At 50.0% G+C, this 15,802-nt stretch overlaps 1 protein-coding gene and 1 long non-coding RNA gene across 16 annotated transcripts in view; one reads left to right on the top strand and one right to left on the bottom strand.

Moving 5' to 3' along the window:
• ZBTB7C (zinc finger and BTB domain containing 7C) overlaps window positions 1-15,802 on the top strand; it is a 385,914-nt gene that overhangs the window by 55,191 nt on the left and 314,921 nt on the right. Inside the window, exons 3-4 of one of the 15 annotated variants that reach the window (NM_001371290.1) lie at window positions 6,807-6,850; window positions 10,697-10,842. The exons of the other annotated variants lie outside the window; for them this stretch is intronic. The gene's annotated coding sequence lies outside the window, so the exon portion shown is untranslated. The remainder of the gene's footprint in view (window positions 1-6,806; window positions 6,851-10,696; window positions 10,843-15,802) is intronic. 15 annotated transcript variants of the gene reach the window in all.
• LOC124904352 (uncharacterized) lies at window positions 1,941-14,544 on the bottom strand. Its single transcript, XR_007066457.1, has 3 exons — window positions 14,277-14,544; window positions 13,780-13,879; window positions 1,941-6,136 (listed from the first exon to the last, which is right to left on the bottom strand). It is a non-coding gene; the product is annotated as an uncharacterized LOC124904352 (long non-coding RNA).

Here is a 15,802-nt window from a genome sequence, read left to right as displayed (position 1 = left end):
AGTGTGAGCTCTGCGTCCCAGTTCCCAGCTGTGTTTCTCCCGGGCCTGGCTGAGCAAAATCAACAAGAAGGTGCAGTTTGTCTTTGTGGCATTCCTCCCTCCCCCTTCCCAGCCTCCAACAGGAGCACTGGCTTCTTGCTCTAACTTCCTCCTCCTGGCCACCCCCGACCTATTCTGCAGGTGGCCGTCTGCCTCCCATCAGAATCTATATGTTCTCTCACCCCTCTGGGACAGACCTTCCGGTGTGTTTCAAGGTGACAATCTGGTGATCTCATAGATTAATCTTAGCACATATGCTCATGGAGAATGCAGGCTGCCTCAGGGGATGGTTCATTCCTTCCCTGTGCCCTGAACTGAGCACAGTACTGTGGGAGGAGTCCTGTCTCAGGCCTGGTCCTGTCTCTAGTCCCTTCCAGTTCAGTGGGGGAGAAAGCAGGGCCACATAGGGCAGTGTTTAGAAGTTTAGTGTAGGATTATGTGTGTTAGGAACTGTGAGGGGGACCCAGGTGGTGGGTGCTGTGGGGGCTGAGAGGGTGGAGAGAATGCTCTGTGGCCTGGGATGGTCAGGGAATGCCAGTCACTCACTGCTTTGGGCCTCAGTTCCCTCATCTGTTAGATAATGCACGTCGGCCCATTGATCATTTCTTGAATTGTCCGATAAGAATGGCAGGGAGACTTGATCAACATCTGGATCCCCAGGTACTCCTAGCAATTCTGATTCTGTAAGTCCAGAGTGGCGCTGGGATCTGGCTCTTTATATCTGGTCTGACCTCCCTTCCTTACTCACTTCTGCCCTAGGAGATGGGATGCCAGGGGCTTTAGCCTGGGCAGACTGTGAAAAGGTGTGGGGACCTGGAGGAGGGCCTTCCTGTTGCCAAGTTCCTGAACACTGCCCTGCTTTGTGTTGGAAAAGCCCGTAGCACAGTTGGGGTGAATTGCTTGGTTGGGAGACAGGGACACTGTTAAACTCTACTTGGTTGCTGAATAATGTAACCACCCAGCTAGCAGGGCCCAGGGAAGGCTTGTTGAACAGGAGAGCCCTTTGGAGGAGCGCTGAAGCATCCTGGCTGCTCTGCGCTGTTGGCTGGCAACCTTGGCATGATAGCACTTCAGGCTGCATGGAGGCTTTCTGAGCGAGTTCACTTGGAGATGCCTGAGAAATACCTGGGGATGGGGTCTCTGTAACAGTCCGACAAGATGATGCCTGCCCCTTCCCTAGCTGGAAAACCCTGTTGAATAAACCCAGAAAGGATGTTGAGGATCCTATAACTCAGTGGGTCTCAAGCCTCATGCGCATCGGAGTTGCCTGGTGGGCTTGCCAAAACAGGTGCTGGGCCCCACCACCAGAGCATCTGATTCAAGACTTCTGGGGTGGGGCCCCAGAATGTGCATTTCTAGCAAGTTGCCTGTTGCTGCTGTGGATGCTGGCCCAGGAAAAGTTCACAGTAGAAAGCCAACGTGAACTTCTCAGCCCGCTCACCTGGGGTGTGAGGTCTTAGGACTCAGTCACTGCCCTCAGGGCATTTGTGCTCTGATTGGGGACCTACCCCCACCCACTCAGATCAAGAGAATGTGAAGCAGGGAGTGTCCAGTGCCTGAAGTGAGCTGCAGGTTCTAGGCAACAAAGAAATTGAGAAGAGGAAGGTTGCAGGGGTGCACGGGAGACTTCCTGAAGTGGAGGCTATGGATGAGGCAGCACATGGATTGCCATGCTGTGCACTGCACACACACAGCCTGGCATGAGCACGGCACCCACTGGAGTTGTGCAGTGCAGTGGTGCTGGTAAAGGAGCATGCTCAGGCCTGGGCTAGTGTGCAGGCTGGGAAGCCCCGAGCAGGTCTGCAGGATAGTGCGGAAGCGAATGGCTAAGTGGGGTTCCTAGGAGGGGCAGGAAGGAGAGCAGGCTTTATGGGAGCCAGAACGTGGAAGGTCTGGAGTGCTCGGGTGAGGAGTTCAGACTTTATTCCGTGGCGAACTGGGAACAAATCAACAGCAGTTTGGCTCCGCTAAGCAGACATCTGGAAATTGACTCTTTTAAATTTTGAAAAACAGATTTCCAGTAGTAGCTCATGGCTGGTCCGTGTGACATTGTTGTATCTCAGAGATCTCTCTGTTCCCCCATTACTGCCCTCCAGCCTCACTGGATTTCTTCCCCCACAGTCCTTGAAATTTCACAATGAAAGATTATTTCCTTTTGTTCAAAATACCGCCCTCTCCAAGAGGCTCATGTTATAAACCAGAGATGCCCAAGAAGGAAAGTAACTAACCTGAATGCACTGTGCTAGCTCACTGCAGGGGGGATTGGCATGGCTCTCTTCTCCAGGGCCCAGTAGGCTTTGATGAAGCTGCAGGCAGAGCAGGGAAGGGATGTCTGGCAGAGGTGGAGTACCACCATGTAGGGTCAGAGAGGAAGCAGGAAGTCAGAGTTGGTTCAGGGAAAGCCCTCCTCTGAGGTTTGGGCAACAAGAATGTTCTAGGGTGGTGTGAGGCCAGGAGGCCTGGAGCTGAGGGGCGTAGGAGGGCATTGGCGTGCTTGGTGGACTCCCAATGGCACAGCTCCGTTTATTCAGTCCCCTCTGTCTCCCTTCCTCTGCTGCAGATGTTGACTCAAGTATACCAGTGTGCTTGGACCAGCCCTGACACACCAGCCCTTTCCTCCCTGCCTAACTGGCTGCAGGGACTGGAATTGCTGTTGGATTTGCTGCCAGGAAGCAAGAAATATCCATGTCTCTCAAGTCAAGTTCCTGAGTCTAGTAGATGGATATGTTCTGAAAACCACATGAATAGAGAAGCTCTATTCATGTGGTATAAAGCTGGGATGTTACCTTGATGCCCCTTAAGGCATATTTGGGGATGGTGATGTGAAAAGTACATCTGGGGTGTGTCCTTTTACCAGGTGATTAATTACCTCCCTATTTTCCTGTTTCCAAGTCAAGTTTGTCCATATTGGATGGTCTGTGAGAACGATGTTCGTGCACGTAAAGACTCCAACAGGAGACTATTGTGAGCAAATTCCTTAATTGTGTTGATGTTGAGATTGATAAGGTCAGCCTAAGAAACCTATTTGTAAAGCTGGACACAGTGGTGTGCACCTGTCATCCCAGCTACTCTGGAGGCTGAGGCAGTAGGGTCCCTTGAGCCCAGGAGTTTGAGGCCAGCCTGGGCAACATAGTGAGACCCCATCTCTTAAACAAACAAACAAACAAAAACCACAAAACGACAAAAACCTGTTTGTTCAGGCCTCAAAGAAAGATGGAGTTTTGTGTGCAGATGTGAATTACAGGTGTATTCCCAAGCAGTGGCACCTGCAAAGGATGCTTTCGTTGAATGAGGATCTGAGAAACTGGAGGCCGATTTCTGCTACCAATTGAGTGTATTTTGTTCCACATAATTCATTGAAGTAAGGAAAATATGGCAACCTAAGGAGGTGATTTAGAGTAGAGGTAAAGTCTCTATCTCCCTCTCCTTCCCACCCTGCTGCAATGGAAAATGCAGGATGGCCCTTTGGACCCCCCTCCTGGGCCTCAGTCTTGGTGCTACCACTTCCACGCTGTGTGAGGATGGTGGGCAGCTCCTGCAGCCTTTCAGCTCCTCATCTGTGTGAGTATCAACCACGAGGTTATCATGAGAAACGTGTGGAGTGCCTGGAACCTAGCGTGTGCCATTGCAACCAGGCCAGCCCCATCCGGCTTTTCATGCTGTCACAAAGGATTGCCCCCGCCACCCCCAGAAAGGCCCTGAGAACCTTTTTCTGGAAATGCTTAGATCAGGGTCATTAAGAGGTTTTAACATCAGATGGGATTGGAGAATACTGGGGGACAGGGACTCTTCCTTAGCCCCACAATGGATAAGAGGCTGAGCCCAGGCTGCAGCCTGGTTTCTTGTCCTCAGATAAAAACTCTGACCACAAACTCCCCCAAACAGTGCCATGACAAGGAGACCAGGGAAGCTCATTTGTCAATCAGCAAATCCACGGATGGATTGAAGAAGGAGGAGGAATCAACAAATCCATAGAAAGACTGAAGAATAAGGAGGGTTTTCTGTACAGCCAGAGCTTGTGATTTTAGACAATGGAGGGTACATCTTGGTGTGGTAAATAGAATACTCTATTTGCAGCAGAAGACCTGGACATAGCTGTCACCTCAGCCCCTTGTTATTGGTGTGATTCTGGGCTGGAACTATCTGTTCCTCAGTTTTCACATCTGTAAATTGAGTATACATATCCATACCTATCTCCCAGAGTTGTTTTGAGGGTTAGGAGGTTACTGGATAGGAAAGCCCTATACAGGCTGCAAGACACTCTGAAAAAGCAAATGATGATTGTTACAACAGTTTCTATTTCTATATTGCTTTTAGGCTTCTAGAGAATTTTCTCATCTCCTTTCTGATTTAATGTAGAGCAGTAGTTGTGCAAGGCAGGCAGGGCAGATGATGATTCTCATATTCAGATATCTAAGGTTGATGGCCTGCCCAGGGCTACCACTGGTGCAGAAGTGGGGGACTAGGGGTGGAGTAACTTGGGTCCCAGCCCTCCCAACACAGTGAACACTGTGCTTTCCACAGAGCTACCCCCTGCGCCTTTCAGCTCACCTCCAACCTTGACATCATTTGCTCACCTGCTTGCACATCTCTTCTGTCCTGAACTTAGCCCAGTTCTGCTCTTCTGAGGGTTTTGTTCATGTGTAAAGTTGGGATCTTACCTTGATGCCCTTGAGGCATACTTTCATCTTCTGGACCCAGTGCCCCCAGGCTGCCCATGGACTGCCCACCCCAGTGCCTCCTCCAGCCTGCTCACCCTGGTCAGCATCCTGGGCCCTAGATTAATCCTTCCCCTGAGCCCCATCCCTGGCTGGCCAAGCAGATGAAGAGGACCACAGGGTGAGACTGTGCCTCCTCTTGGGGATGGGAACTTTCTGGAGGTGATGCTTTGCTAAAAGAGTGGATTCTAACAGTGGGCCTTTGGGGCCTGGGTGGCATTTTAGGACAAGAAGCCCTGTTGGAATACTGCGGATGCCCCCAGGGCCTGGCCCAGTGGTTAGCAGCCAGCAGGGCTGTGAGCACTTGGATAAGCTGGCAGGTGACACTGGCAAGGCAGGTAGTCACTCTGTTCCCTGAGCTCAGGTTCCTCTGCCTTCCAAACACGTGCCAAGAGCTTAGTGGGCATCCAGCATGGTACCATGTGCTGCCCCCAGAGTGCTCACAGTCAAGTGGCTGCCATGCCAGGTGACAGGCAAGTCTTCAGAGTCAAAGGTGCGAGGATGGGGTAAAGTACAAGTGCTCTAGGAACATGTTGTGTAAAGGCACCTGCGAGTCCTGGCCTGTAGGGTCAGGGAAGGCTTCCTGGAAGAGGGGACCCTTGAGCTGACCATGGGAGACCAGGCCAAGGCTAAATGGAGGTGAGGAAGGGGGCTGGGCAGAGGGTGGGGTATCTCTAGTTCCTGTCATCAGGGCTCTCAGGTTCACCTGCTGGGACTTAGCACTCCCCTCTGTCTGCTCCAGCCCCCTCCATGCTCTGTCAGAGGGAAATCTCCCCGAGGGTAGGATTCTGAGCTTGGCTTGCTGCCAAGGAGGGGCCAACAGTGCTGGTTGGTGAGGGAACGAGCACTCTTTGGGTTCCGTAGGCCTGGCTCTGGCTGCTGTGAAATCTTAATCAGTCACTGCTGTCAAAGGCTTCCTGTCTTCCTGAATAAGTGATTTAACTTATCTTTTAGATTGCAGTTGACTTCAGCACATAAAAGGCTCCTTCAAGTTGAAGCAACATCTCCACCAGGAATGGATTAAGAGCAGGAAAACGGCGTTTTTCTTAACACGGTGCAGCTGGGCCATTGGAAACCCAAATGCATTTGTTATCTCCTCTTGTAGCACATCCATGGCGAGAGGCCCTCCTTTTAGACAGTGGTGGTATACTTTCCCCACTGGGGAAACCAGTTGGCTTGCAAGCCTGTAGAAAGTCCGTGAGGGAGGAGAAGTTTGCTGGTTGAGACACCCAAAGCCACGGGTCTTTTAACACCTTTGAACTTGGGCCCTCCTTTGCTGGCTGCCGGCTTTGTCCTCCTCTCCACTCCTGCCCCGTCACCAACAAGAGTCCAGGGGATTTTGAGTGGCAGCAATCCTCAAGGGCTTCCTGGGTTCATCCCTGGAATAAACACGGGGGCAGCAGGGAGGGGTAAAGAAGAGGTGTGAGCCGTGGCTTCTCTGTCAAAAAGGGCTTCCATCTCGCACTCACACATGGCTTGGGGTGGGGAGTGTGTGTGTACATTAGTTCAGCTCTGTGAAGGGCCATTCAGCAGTAGCTGGGGAATTTTAATGCAGATGTCCTTTGGCCCATGAGTTCCACTTATATGAATTTATTCTACAGACATCCAGGCACATACAGGAAATGGTATACATACGAGATTGTTCACTGCAGTGTTGTATGTAAGACCAAAAGATTATAAACAACTTAAGAGTCCATCAGCAGGAGACTAGATTAATCAACTATAGTGCATCCACAGACTGGAAGGGTATGCAGCCATTAAAGAGAACAAGGATGCTTTTATATACGGATCCAGGACAATCTCAAGGGTGTTATGATAAAAACAAGTTGCAGAACAGTATTATGGTACTGTACCATGGGTGTAAAAATTATACATACTGCTATTGCTTTAGGCATAAAACCTCTTGGGATAGAAACACAAGGAAATGTTAACAGGGAGGGGAACTGGGTGGTGGGCGACAGGGGTGGAAGGGCACCTTTTCAATCTATAGCCTTTTATGCCATTTGGGTTTTGAACAATGTGAATGTATTTGTTATTTGTGGTTGGCAGGAAATGGCCTCTCCAAAATGTCCACACTCAAATCCCCAGAACCTGTGAGTATGTTGCCTTATGTGACACAGGGGCTTTGCAGATGGGATTAAGGTTATAGATACTGAGATGGGGAAATTATCCTGGTTTATCCAGATGTGCTCAATCTAGTCGCATAAGCCCTTAAAAGCAGGAACCTTGCCTGGCCGTGGTCAGAGAGGGAGACGTAACTACGGAAGAACCTTCAGAGAGATGCTATGCTTCTAGCTTTGACGATGGAGGAAGGTGCACCAGCCAAGGAATGCAGGCAGCCCCTGGAGGCTTGAAAAGGCAAGGAGATGTTCCTCCCTAGAGCCTCCAGGAAGGAATACAGCTAAGCTGACACCTTGATTTTAGCCCAGTGAGACCCTTGTCAGACTTCAACCTCCAGAACTGTAAGATAATGAATTCATGTTGTGTAAACCACTAAGGGTGTGGCCATTTGTTACAGCAGTAATAGAAAGCTAATATTCCACTCAAAACAATAAACAAAGAAAACAGTTTTTAAGAGTCCCAGTCTAGTTAGAGTGGGACTCAGCACATGCACTGAGGAAACGCACTCATTTCAGTGTAGTGCCGTGCAGTGCAGCAGACTGTCAATGCTGTGGGACATAGCCCTGTTTATGAAGGGCAGGTGGCATTCCCATTACAGGCCAGGCACTGTGCTAGGTGCAGGGGCCACAAAATGAAGAAAATGTAGTCCCCATCCTGGGCTGAGTTTTGCAGTCTCTCTCCCCCTCCCTTTAAAACTGCCCTCCAGGATGCCAGTACTGTGTACCCCCACTGCATGGCCTCTGTTAAATGTGGAATTTCTAGGCCCTTTGCCATCTTGGGCCCTAATGGACCAGACTTTAGCTCATTCCCCTGCGTGTGGCTGGCCAACTAGTCTGAGTGGTGGTAGGGCTGGAGGATCTACCACCTCTGGAAAAGCTTGATTCTACTTTAAACTTTCCTCCTCCAGCGTTTAGCATGGACATCATTCATTTCAGCATCACTCCAAGATTGGGTGACTCAGGGTCTCTGCCTTTGGAGCTGTGTGCCCAGCCTCCTCTCACAAGACCACACGCCCCCTTATGTAGGGATCTGCTTTATTCATTTGTCAATGTGTCATCTCAACAGGACAGAACATATTATAGGGACTCCCTAAAACACATATGCAGCCTCTATAGTTTGCATCTGGTGGTGCTAGGTGGGCATTAGGCAATATGCAAGAAACTAATCAAAAAAAGATGCAGACTTGAACTTGGTCTTCTTGATGTAAAGAGAAAATTTATCATTGCTCTTCTCTGACATTTCTTTCATCCATGCCCATTTCATATTGGAAAATATACTGAGGGGAAAAATGTTTTCCTCCTTTAGTCCTCCCTCCCCTGATGGGTATGGCCAGGATGCTGTGACCTTTCAATTTGAAGGAGCCACTGAGCAAGCTGCTAATAGGTCCTGCCAGCCACCAGCCAGCCAGCACCATGCCTAGGGCTGCATTAAAGCCCCCTTGACCCTGTGGCCCCTACTGTGCTCTTCTGCCACCTCCTTGCCCCTCCCCCAGCTTCCATGCCTCCCATCTGTCCCTCAGGGCTTTTTCCCTTGGCCAGATGCATGTGTGTGTGTGAGAGCAGAGGGGCAGCAGGCACAGCCAGGTGATGCATGTCCACTCAGGAACTCTTGGAAACCGGCCCTCCCCAGGGGAATGACCTCACTGGCACTCTTAGCCTCTATGGCAGATCAGGAGCTGTGTTTTTTGTTTGTTTGTTTTTGATACAAAGTCTAGCCTTGTCACCCAGGCTGGAGTGCAGTGGCACGATCTCAGCTCACTGCAACCTCTGCCTCCCAGGTTGAAGCTATTCTCCTGCCTCAGCCTCCCGAGTAGCGGGGATTATAGGCATGTGCCACCACGCCTAGCTAATTTTTGTATTTTTAGTAGAGACAAGGTTTCACCATGTTGGTCAGGCTGGTCTCGAAGTCCTGACCTCAAGTGACCCTCCCACCTTGGCCTCCCAAAGTGCTGGGATTACAGGCATGAGCCACCACTCCTGGCCTGGAGCAACATTTTTATTTGTGAGATAGCAGGATCCTCTGGAACAAAACAGTCAGGCAGTCATGGTCCTTGCCCTAGTGGGGAACTGTGGACTGCAGGGAAGTGTGGCAGTGAAGAGGGTTCACTTTGGAATGAGGTAGGTGAGGATTTGTATCCAGGCTCTGCCTTTATAAACTGTGTGACCTTGGCTGCTTACCCATTGTAAGCCTCAGTTTACTCATCTGTAAAATTGGGAGCTAGACTCGGACCTAGGATGACATCAGGGATGTATAAAGCTGGGGTTGAATTCTAAATCTGAACTTGCCTTCTGCTCTGGCTCCTATGACGGCATCAACTCCTAACAGTGTGTAACATCCCCACCCCTCCACCCTGCAGGTGGCAAAGTGGAAGTAGGTGCCAACTCAAGGGCAGGGTTGTTGTGATGACTGCAGTGAGTTAGCCTTGGAAAATGCCTGGCTCTTGGTAGTTATTATTTTGCAAGGCTCATGCTATTTTACAGTCTTGGCTCATGTCATTGCTACCATGCTGCTCCCTGGGGCAGGCCAACAGGGCTGTGGGCTCACAGAAACCTCTGTACCTGCCTTCCAGGCCTCCTCAGCCCTGATTCCTGCCTTTTTGCATGTTGACCTCAGTGTCTTGCAAACCATTTCCCACCCTGGTCTCAAGGTGACTTCGGTGTTTCATCCCCAGAACCTCCCTTCCATGTGGCTGGAGCCTGGCCTTTTCATAGGTATTAACATCTCTCAGAATGGCCTACCTCCCTGCTGGAAAACTCCAATTCTCTTTTGTGACCACAACCTCCAGGCTCTTTGCTGGTTCCATCCCTGAGCAGGGAGTTCAGATGTTCCAGTGGAATCTTGGTAGGGTTGGTGAGAAAGCAGAGGTTGGCTGGGTCAGGTAAGGGAAGAGGCTGCCCACCCCATAGCATGTGAAGCCTTGGTGGAAGCTGGTGTGCCCAGGGGCCCAAGGCAGAGGCAGCAGGGTGAGGATTCATGCTGCTTGACGGGGAGAGGAGGGAGTGGGTGCACACGTGTTGCTCTGCCAGTCAGTTCTGCGTCTGAGGAAGCCTGCCTCTAACCTCCTGCCTCTGGAGGGCTTCCTAGGGGAAGCAGGGAAAAGAAAGCCTCAACTGAGGAATTATGGTATCTTTTATGGGAAAAAGCAACAGGCAAGAGCATATTGAAATTTGGGGATCACGGCTGGGAGTGGTGGCTCACGCCTATAATCCCAGCACTTTGGGAGGCCGATCACTTGAGGTCAGGAGCTTGAGGGCATGGTGGTGCGTGCCTGTAGTCCCAGCTACTTGGGAGGCCGTGGCAGGAGAATGGCTTGAATCCAGGAGGAGGAAGTTGCCGTGAGCCTGGGTAACAGAGCGAGACTCCGTCTCAAAAAAAAAAAAAAAAAAAAAAAACAAACAAAAACTGGGAATCACTCTATAGAAAAGGGTGATGCTGGCCCAGCGTGGTGGCTCATGCCTGTAATCCCAGCACTTTGGGAGGCTGAGGCTTGTGGATCATGAGGTCAGGAGCTCGAGACCAGCCTGACCAACATGGTGAAAACCCATCTCTACTAAAAATACAAAAATTAGCCAGGTGTGGTGGCGCGTGCCTGTAATCCCAGCTACTCAGAAGGCTGAGGCAGGAGAATCACTTAAACCCGGGAGGCAGAGGTTGCAGTGACCCAAGATCCCACCAGTGCACTCCAGCCTGGCAACAGAGCAAGACTCCATCTAAAAAAAAAAAGGAAAAAGAAAAGGGTGATGATGCTAGGGATGTAGAGTTGGAGTGAAATTCTAAATCTGATTTCACTTTCTCATCTGGCCTCCGTGGTTGGTCAGCTCCTCTGATGGTCTGTTAGCCCCGCTCTGGGGAAACCAGCCATTGAGACAGAAGGAAGCAGCGCCCAGTGACACTCTGCTTACCCAGAGACCAGCCTGCAAGCAACCTCTCCTATCCAGAACACAGACACAGATGGCAAAGTCAGGTAAAAGGGCCTCTGGTTAGCAAAAATGGCTAAAGCCTGGCACCTTATTTCCAAGAACACCCCTGCCCCCACCCTCACTCAGAACCCTGGGTTGCCCAGCCTTGGGGGAACCCATGTTCTGCATTAGAGGTACAGGAAGCGGCTTGAGGCAGGTGTTCTCAACCAGGGCATGACTCATGGGAGACTGACTATGAGGAAGGGGTGGATAGAAGAAGAAAAGCAGAGAGACAGAGACAAATGCTCAGCATGGCAAAGAGCCTTGTGCTGGTGGCAGAGGGTCAGCAAGACAAGGTTCAGTCATGTTCAGCATCTCAGCCCTTCAAGTGCTTTGTGGGGTGAAGCTGGGGCAGAAAGTACACACATTTTAGGGTTTGTGTCATTTGCCGATCACTTGAGGTCAGGAGTTTGAGACCAGCCTGGCCAACATGGTGAGGAAGAGAAGCATGTAAACATTAAAAGAATACTTTATGCAGTAGGTTTAAAAATCAAACACATTTTGTTGCTTAGTGGGGCAATGTTCAGTTGTTCAGTTGTCTAGAAAATCGTTGTATGTGAAATATCTCACCTGTATTACTAGATAAATGGTTATTTCCATGGGCATCATAGAGTATGAGAGCCAGATAGGACCAAGAGATCCCATAAACCCATTTTAACATTTTTATAGATCATGTAATTGAGGTTCAGAGATGGGAAATGATTTGCCCAAGTTCCCACAGCCAGATGGCAGCAGAGCTGGGCCTTGCACTTGGTTTGCCAGAGTGCAAAATGGATCCAGGAACTGGGCAGCAGGGCTGGGGCCAGACACTGCACCTCAGGCAGGATCAGCCAGACTGGGGCTGGGACCCTCTCCAGCCTCCCAGAGGTCGGAGCCAAGGCCTTGTTGGGACACTGGGGGACCTGAAATACCTGCCAAGGAGCATGCTGAAGAGACAGAAATATACTCCTGAAATACCCGCCCAGGAGCATGCTGAAGAGACAGAGTGGGATGGAGGTCTGGGGGTGTGGGGGGCGGTGCTGGTATGCCAGGAAAGCACAACAGAAGTGCGCAGGGCACCTTGGGGGTTGGGCATTTGGGAGTCGGGTGAACATGCCCAATTCCTAAGTGAATTCTGAGGCTGCTGTTCTAGAAGAGTCCACCTCTACGCATGTCAGAAACCAGTTTGAAAGGTAGCTGATAGCCCTGAAATAGGAAACAAAGAAGAAAATGCCAAGCACTCCTAGTAATCCTGCAGGAACCAGCTCCTGGAGTCTGATTTTTGCTTTCTATTTCCTGCAAGAAAGGGCTCCAAACCCAGCCTGTCCAGTGCACACCTACTGCAGCTTCTTACTGAACAGCTATCCACAGACTTCCTATTTTTACCCTTAATAACTGTAAGCTCGGGGTTACCAAGGTCTTCCTGTTGCTATAGTGAGAGGTGATAGCACCAGCCTTCCAAAGCGCTGGACCCTTGGCTTAGAGGAAAAACAGAATCTGGGTTGCTTTATTTTTGGGTTTGACTGAGAAGATTTAATGCACCATTTTGCAGCCTTTGCAACAATGGCAGTTTGTGCTTAAAATACAGAAAACCTCCATAACAAAGAATAACTGGTGATTTTGAGGAGTGGACATCAGAGAGTATATAGAAGATAAATTTTAAATTACAAAAATGACACAACTTCTTCCAGAAAATCCAGAGAATGACAAATAAATAAAAACACATGTCGTTACATTACCACAGCACAACCTTCATGGTCCTCATGACTTATCAGCTTTCCTAAACCTGCATTTGGCGGCGTTGAAGACATAGTATCCATATAATTGGTAGTCTGCTTTTTGAGTTAATATGCTATAAGCATTCTTCTGTGTTGCTGCATTATCTCAATAAGCATTATTTTTATTGGTTGGCTAATGTCATAATTTCATAAAGCGTTCTCCTACTTTTCCTCTTTGTCTCTTGAATCCACACTTGATCTCCATTATACCATCTTTGTCTAAATTCTACTCCTTCTCTGTTTTGGATAACTGGCTGGCCTTGTCCCTGTCTCCCTTTTTTTCCCCCTTTCCCCTTCCCCTCACCATACACGTGCCAGGACGTCCTCCACTCTGCAGCCTGGCTAATCAGAAGGTGATCCCAGACCAGTGGCATGGGCATCCCCTGGGAGCTTGTTAGCAATGCAGGATCTTGACTCCACCTGGGACCTACTGAACAGCACCTGCATTGTGACAAGATCCCAGGTGATTCATAAGCACGTAGAAGTTTGACAAGCACTGATTTAAAACACACTTCCCGGCCACGTGTGGTGGCTCACGCCTATAATCCCATCACTTTGGGAGGCTGAGGTGGGTGGATCACTTGAGGTCAGGAGTTCAAGACCAGCCTGGCCAACAAGGTGAAACCCCGTCTCTACTAAAAATACAAAAATTAGCCGGGTGTGGAGGTGTGTGCCTGCAATCCAGCTACTCGGAAGGCCGAGGCAGGAGAATAGCTTGAACCTGGGAGGTGGAGGTTGCAGTGAGCCGAGATCGTGCCACTGCACTCCAGCCTAGGTGACAGAGCCAGACTCCATCTCAAAAATAAATTTAAATAAATAAATAAATAAAACACACATCCCCATGGCTCCAGGGTAGAAGCCCCACTCCTAGCCAGGTGCATAGCCTGCTGAGTAAAGACCAAAGCAGGCGGGGGAGGGAGTGCAGAGGGAAGGGGATAGGCCAGTGGAACAATCTGCAGGTGGCAGGCAGCTGTGGGCCAGGAAGTTTAGAGAGGTTGGGAGAGAGGAGGGGGCCTGTTAAGGAAGTTCCAAAATCCAGATCCGCAGATGATGCAGATTGAAAACTGGGAGCCCAACAGGCTATTAGGGGAAGGAGTGTGGGCGTGGGCAGCACATCCACCACTCCCGACCCACTCCTGTTTCATAGATGAAGAAGCCAGGGCACAGAGAAATTAAGTTGCTTACCCAAGGTCACACAGCTGATAGGTGGTGGAGCTGGGATACAAACCTGATTCCAGAGCCCACATTTCTTAACCAGCCAGCAATGCGGCCTCCAGAGTGTGGGCTAAATATAGGAGGAAGAAAGGAATAGAAGGATGTTAAGTTCCTACAATGAGCAAGTACTTTTTTATTTTATTGCATTTAATATTTACAACAGCCTTTGGGTGTGGGTATTATTACTCTATGTTATAGATGAGGCAGGAATTTGCCCAGGGACAAATTCCTCTCACTGTTCATGGTGGGGACAAACACAGGGCAAATCTTAGATGTTTTTCCTCAATCCTTAAAATTAGGAAATGCTAGGACTAGAATACCTTCTAGAGGGTGCTAGAAGGTACTGTAAAATGATGCAGTTAGATCTAATACCTTCTAGTAGTAGAAGGTACCTGGCTTAACATTTAATCTAACCGCATCATTTTACAGTTAAGGAAACTGAGGCCCAGAGAGCTCAAGCAACTTACCTAAGGTCGCACAGCCAGCTGGTTACAGATCCAAGACTGACTGATTCAGTGCTGTTTTCTTGATGCTGGGCTGTGTTTGTACCGGGTGGCCTGAGCGTCCTGGGTCTCCTTGGAGCACTGCCAGGCCAGCCAGCAGGTACTGTCGGGTCACTAAGTATGAATTCAGCCTTAAACGTAGGCTGGAGGATGCAAAGGATGAAACTCCAGTAAAAAACAATGAACTTATTTTATATCTGCTTGTTGTTAAAAATCCAGGCAATGTAGAAGTGTGTCCGGCAACACTTGAAAGCACCTCCCTCCCTCCTGGCCCTCCCCATTCCACTCCCCAGGGGTAGCCACTTAACAGCGCTGTCTCCAGTGGCTCCTTAATTTTTCTGCCAGCCGTTGGGTTGTGTAGGATCCATGCCACAGCAAGGCTATTTTTAACAAGCATCCTAGGCTTCAGGGGGTTGAGGAGAGGGGAAGAAAAAAATATTCCATTTGTATATTTTTAATCCATACACATTTGAGCAGGCAGTGGCTTTCCCGTCCCTCCTGCCGAGGGTTGTGGGGAATTGATTACACTCTCTAGGTGCAGGGTAATCCTTTCTCTTCCCCTAACAAGGCTGGAGGGCCAGGGAGGGGTTCGGGCGATGTTTCTGGGGACGATGGCCGTCTCAGCTGGCTGCCTCCCGATCCTGCCTGCCCCCAGCCCTGTCCCTCCTGGCAGCCTTGAAAATCCTGGCTGGGTCTCCTGTGGCAGAGAAGGCCTGGGAACCTGACTCTTTGTGCCAAGCTCATATTTAGAAATGTCTCCAGCCAGACGTTGGCATCAGTCCCACTTGGGCTCTGGGCAGGGGGTGCAGTCACATGTGCTGCCTTTGAGTGGGCAGCTTCTGAGTGGGCAGCAGCCCACTTTGAATATAAACACAATCCCTTTATGCAGATGAGCTGGCATGGGAACCTGTGCTCCTGGGCACTGGGAGGGGGCAAGCTCTGGTAGACAGTTGGGAGAGGGAAGAAAGATGTCACAAGGCTTAGACTGGGAAATATGATGTCGGGGGAGGGGTCCCAGCTCCCTGATCCCACCAGCCCCTATCCAGTTTCTGCACCTCTTTCCTGGGTGCCCAGGGCACTGTCCCTGCCTGAGCCCCACAATGGCCCTGATGGACCTTTCTTTTCCTTTCTACATCATGCATTCCCCAGTCTGTGGAACGAGAGTGAGGCCTTGGAGGGAGGCCCCCCACCAACGGCAGGGTTTCTCTCCATCTCCCCCTCAACATCTCCAGATCACACTTGTAAAATGTGGCCCTGGATGTCACCATCTCTGAGGGCTCTTTCAGCATTGACAGTGAATCATTCCACAGTTTCTTGCTCATTTTGTGTTCTTTTCCATGGCAGTGCATGATGATGGGTGAATTAGACCAACTGATCCCGGCTTTGAATAGTAGGCCTCTAAGGTAACAAGCGGCATGCTGTAGCCCTGTGAAAACTCTCCTTTCTTTTACAACAGCTCCTTTAAGGAGAGTCATTCACTCATGCCTCAG

This window comes from Homo sapiens, chromosome 18, assembly GCF_000001405.40.
Source record: "Homo sapiens chromosome 18, GRCh38.p14 Primary Assembly".
NCBI lineage: Eukaryota > Metazoa > Chordata > Mammalia > Primates > Hominidae > Homo > Homo sapiens.
This window is presented reverse-complemented; position numbering and strand designations above follow the sequence as displayed.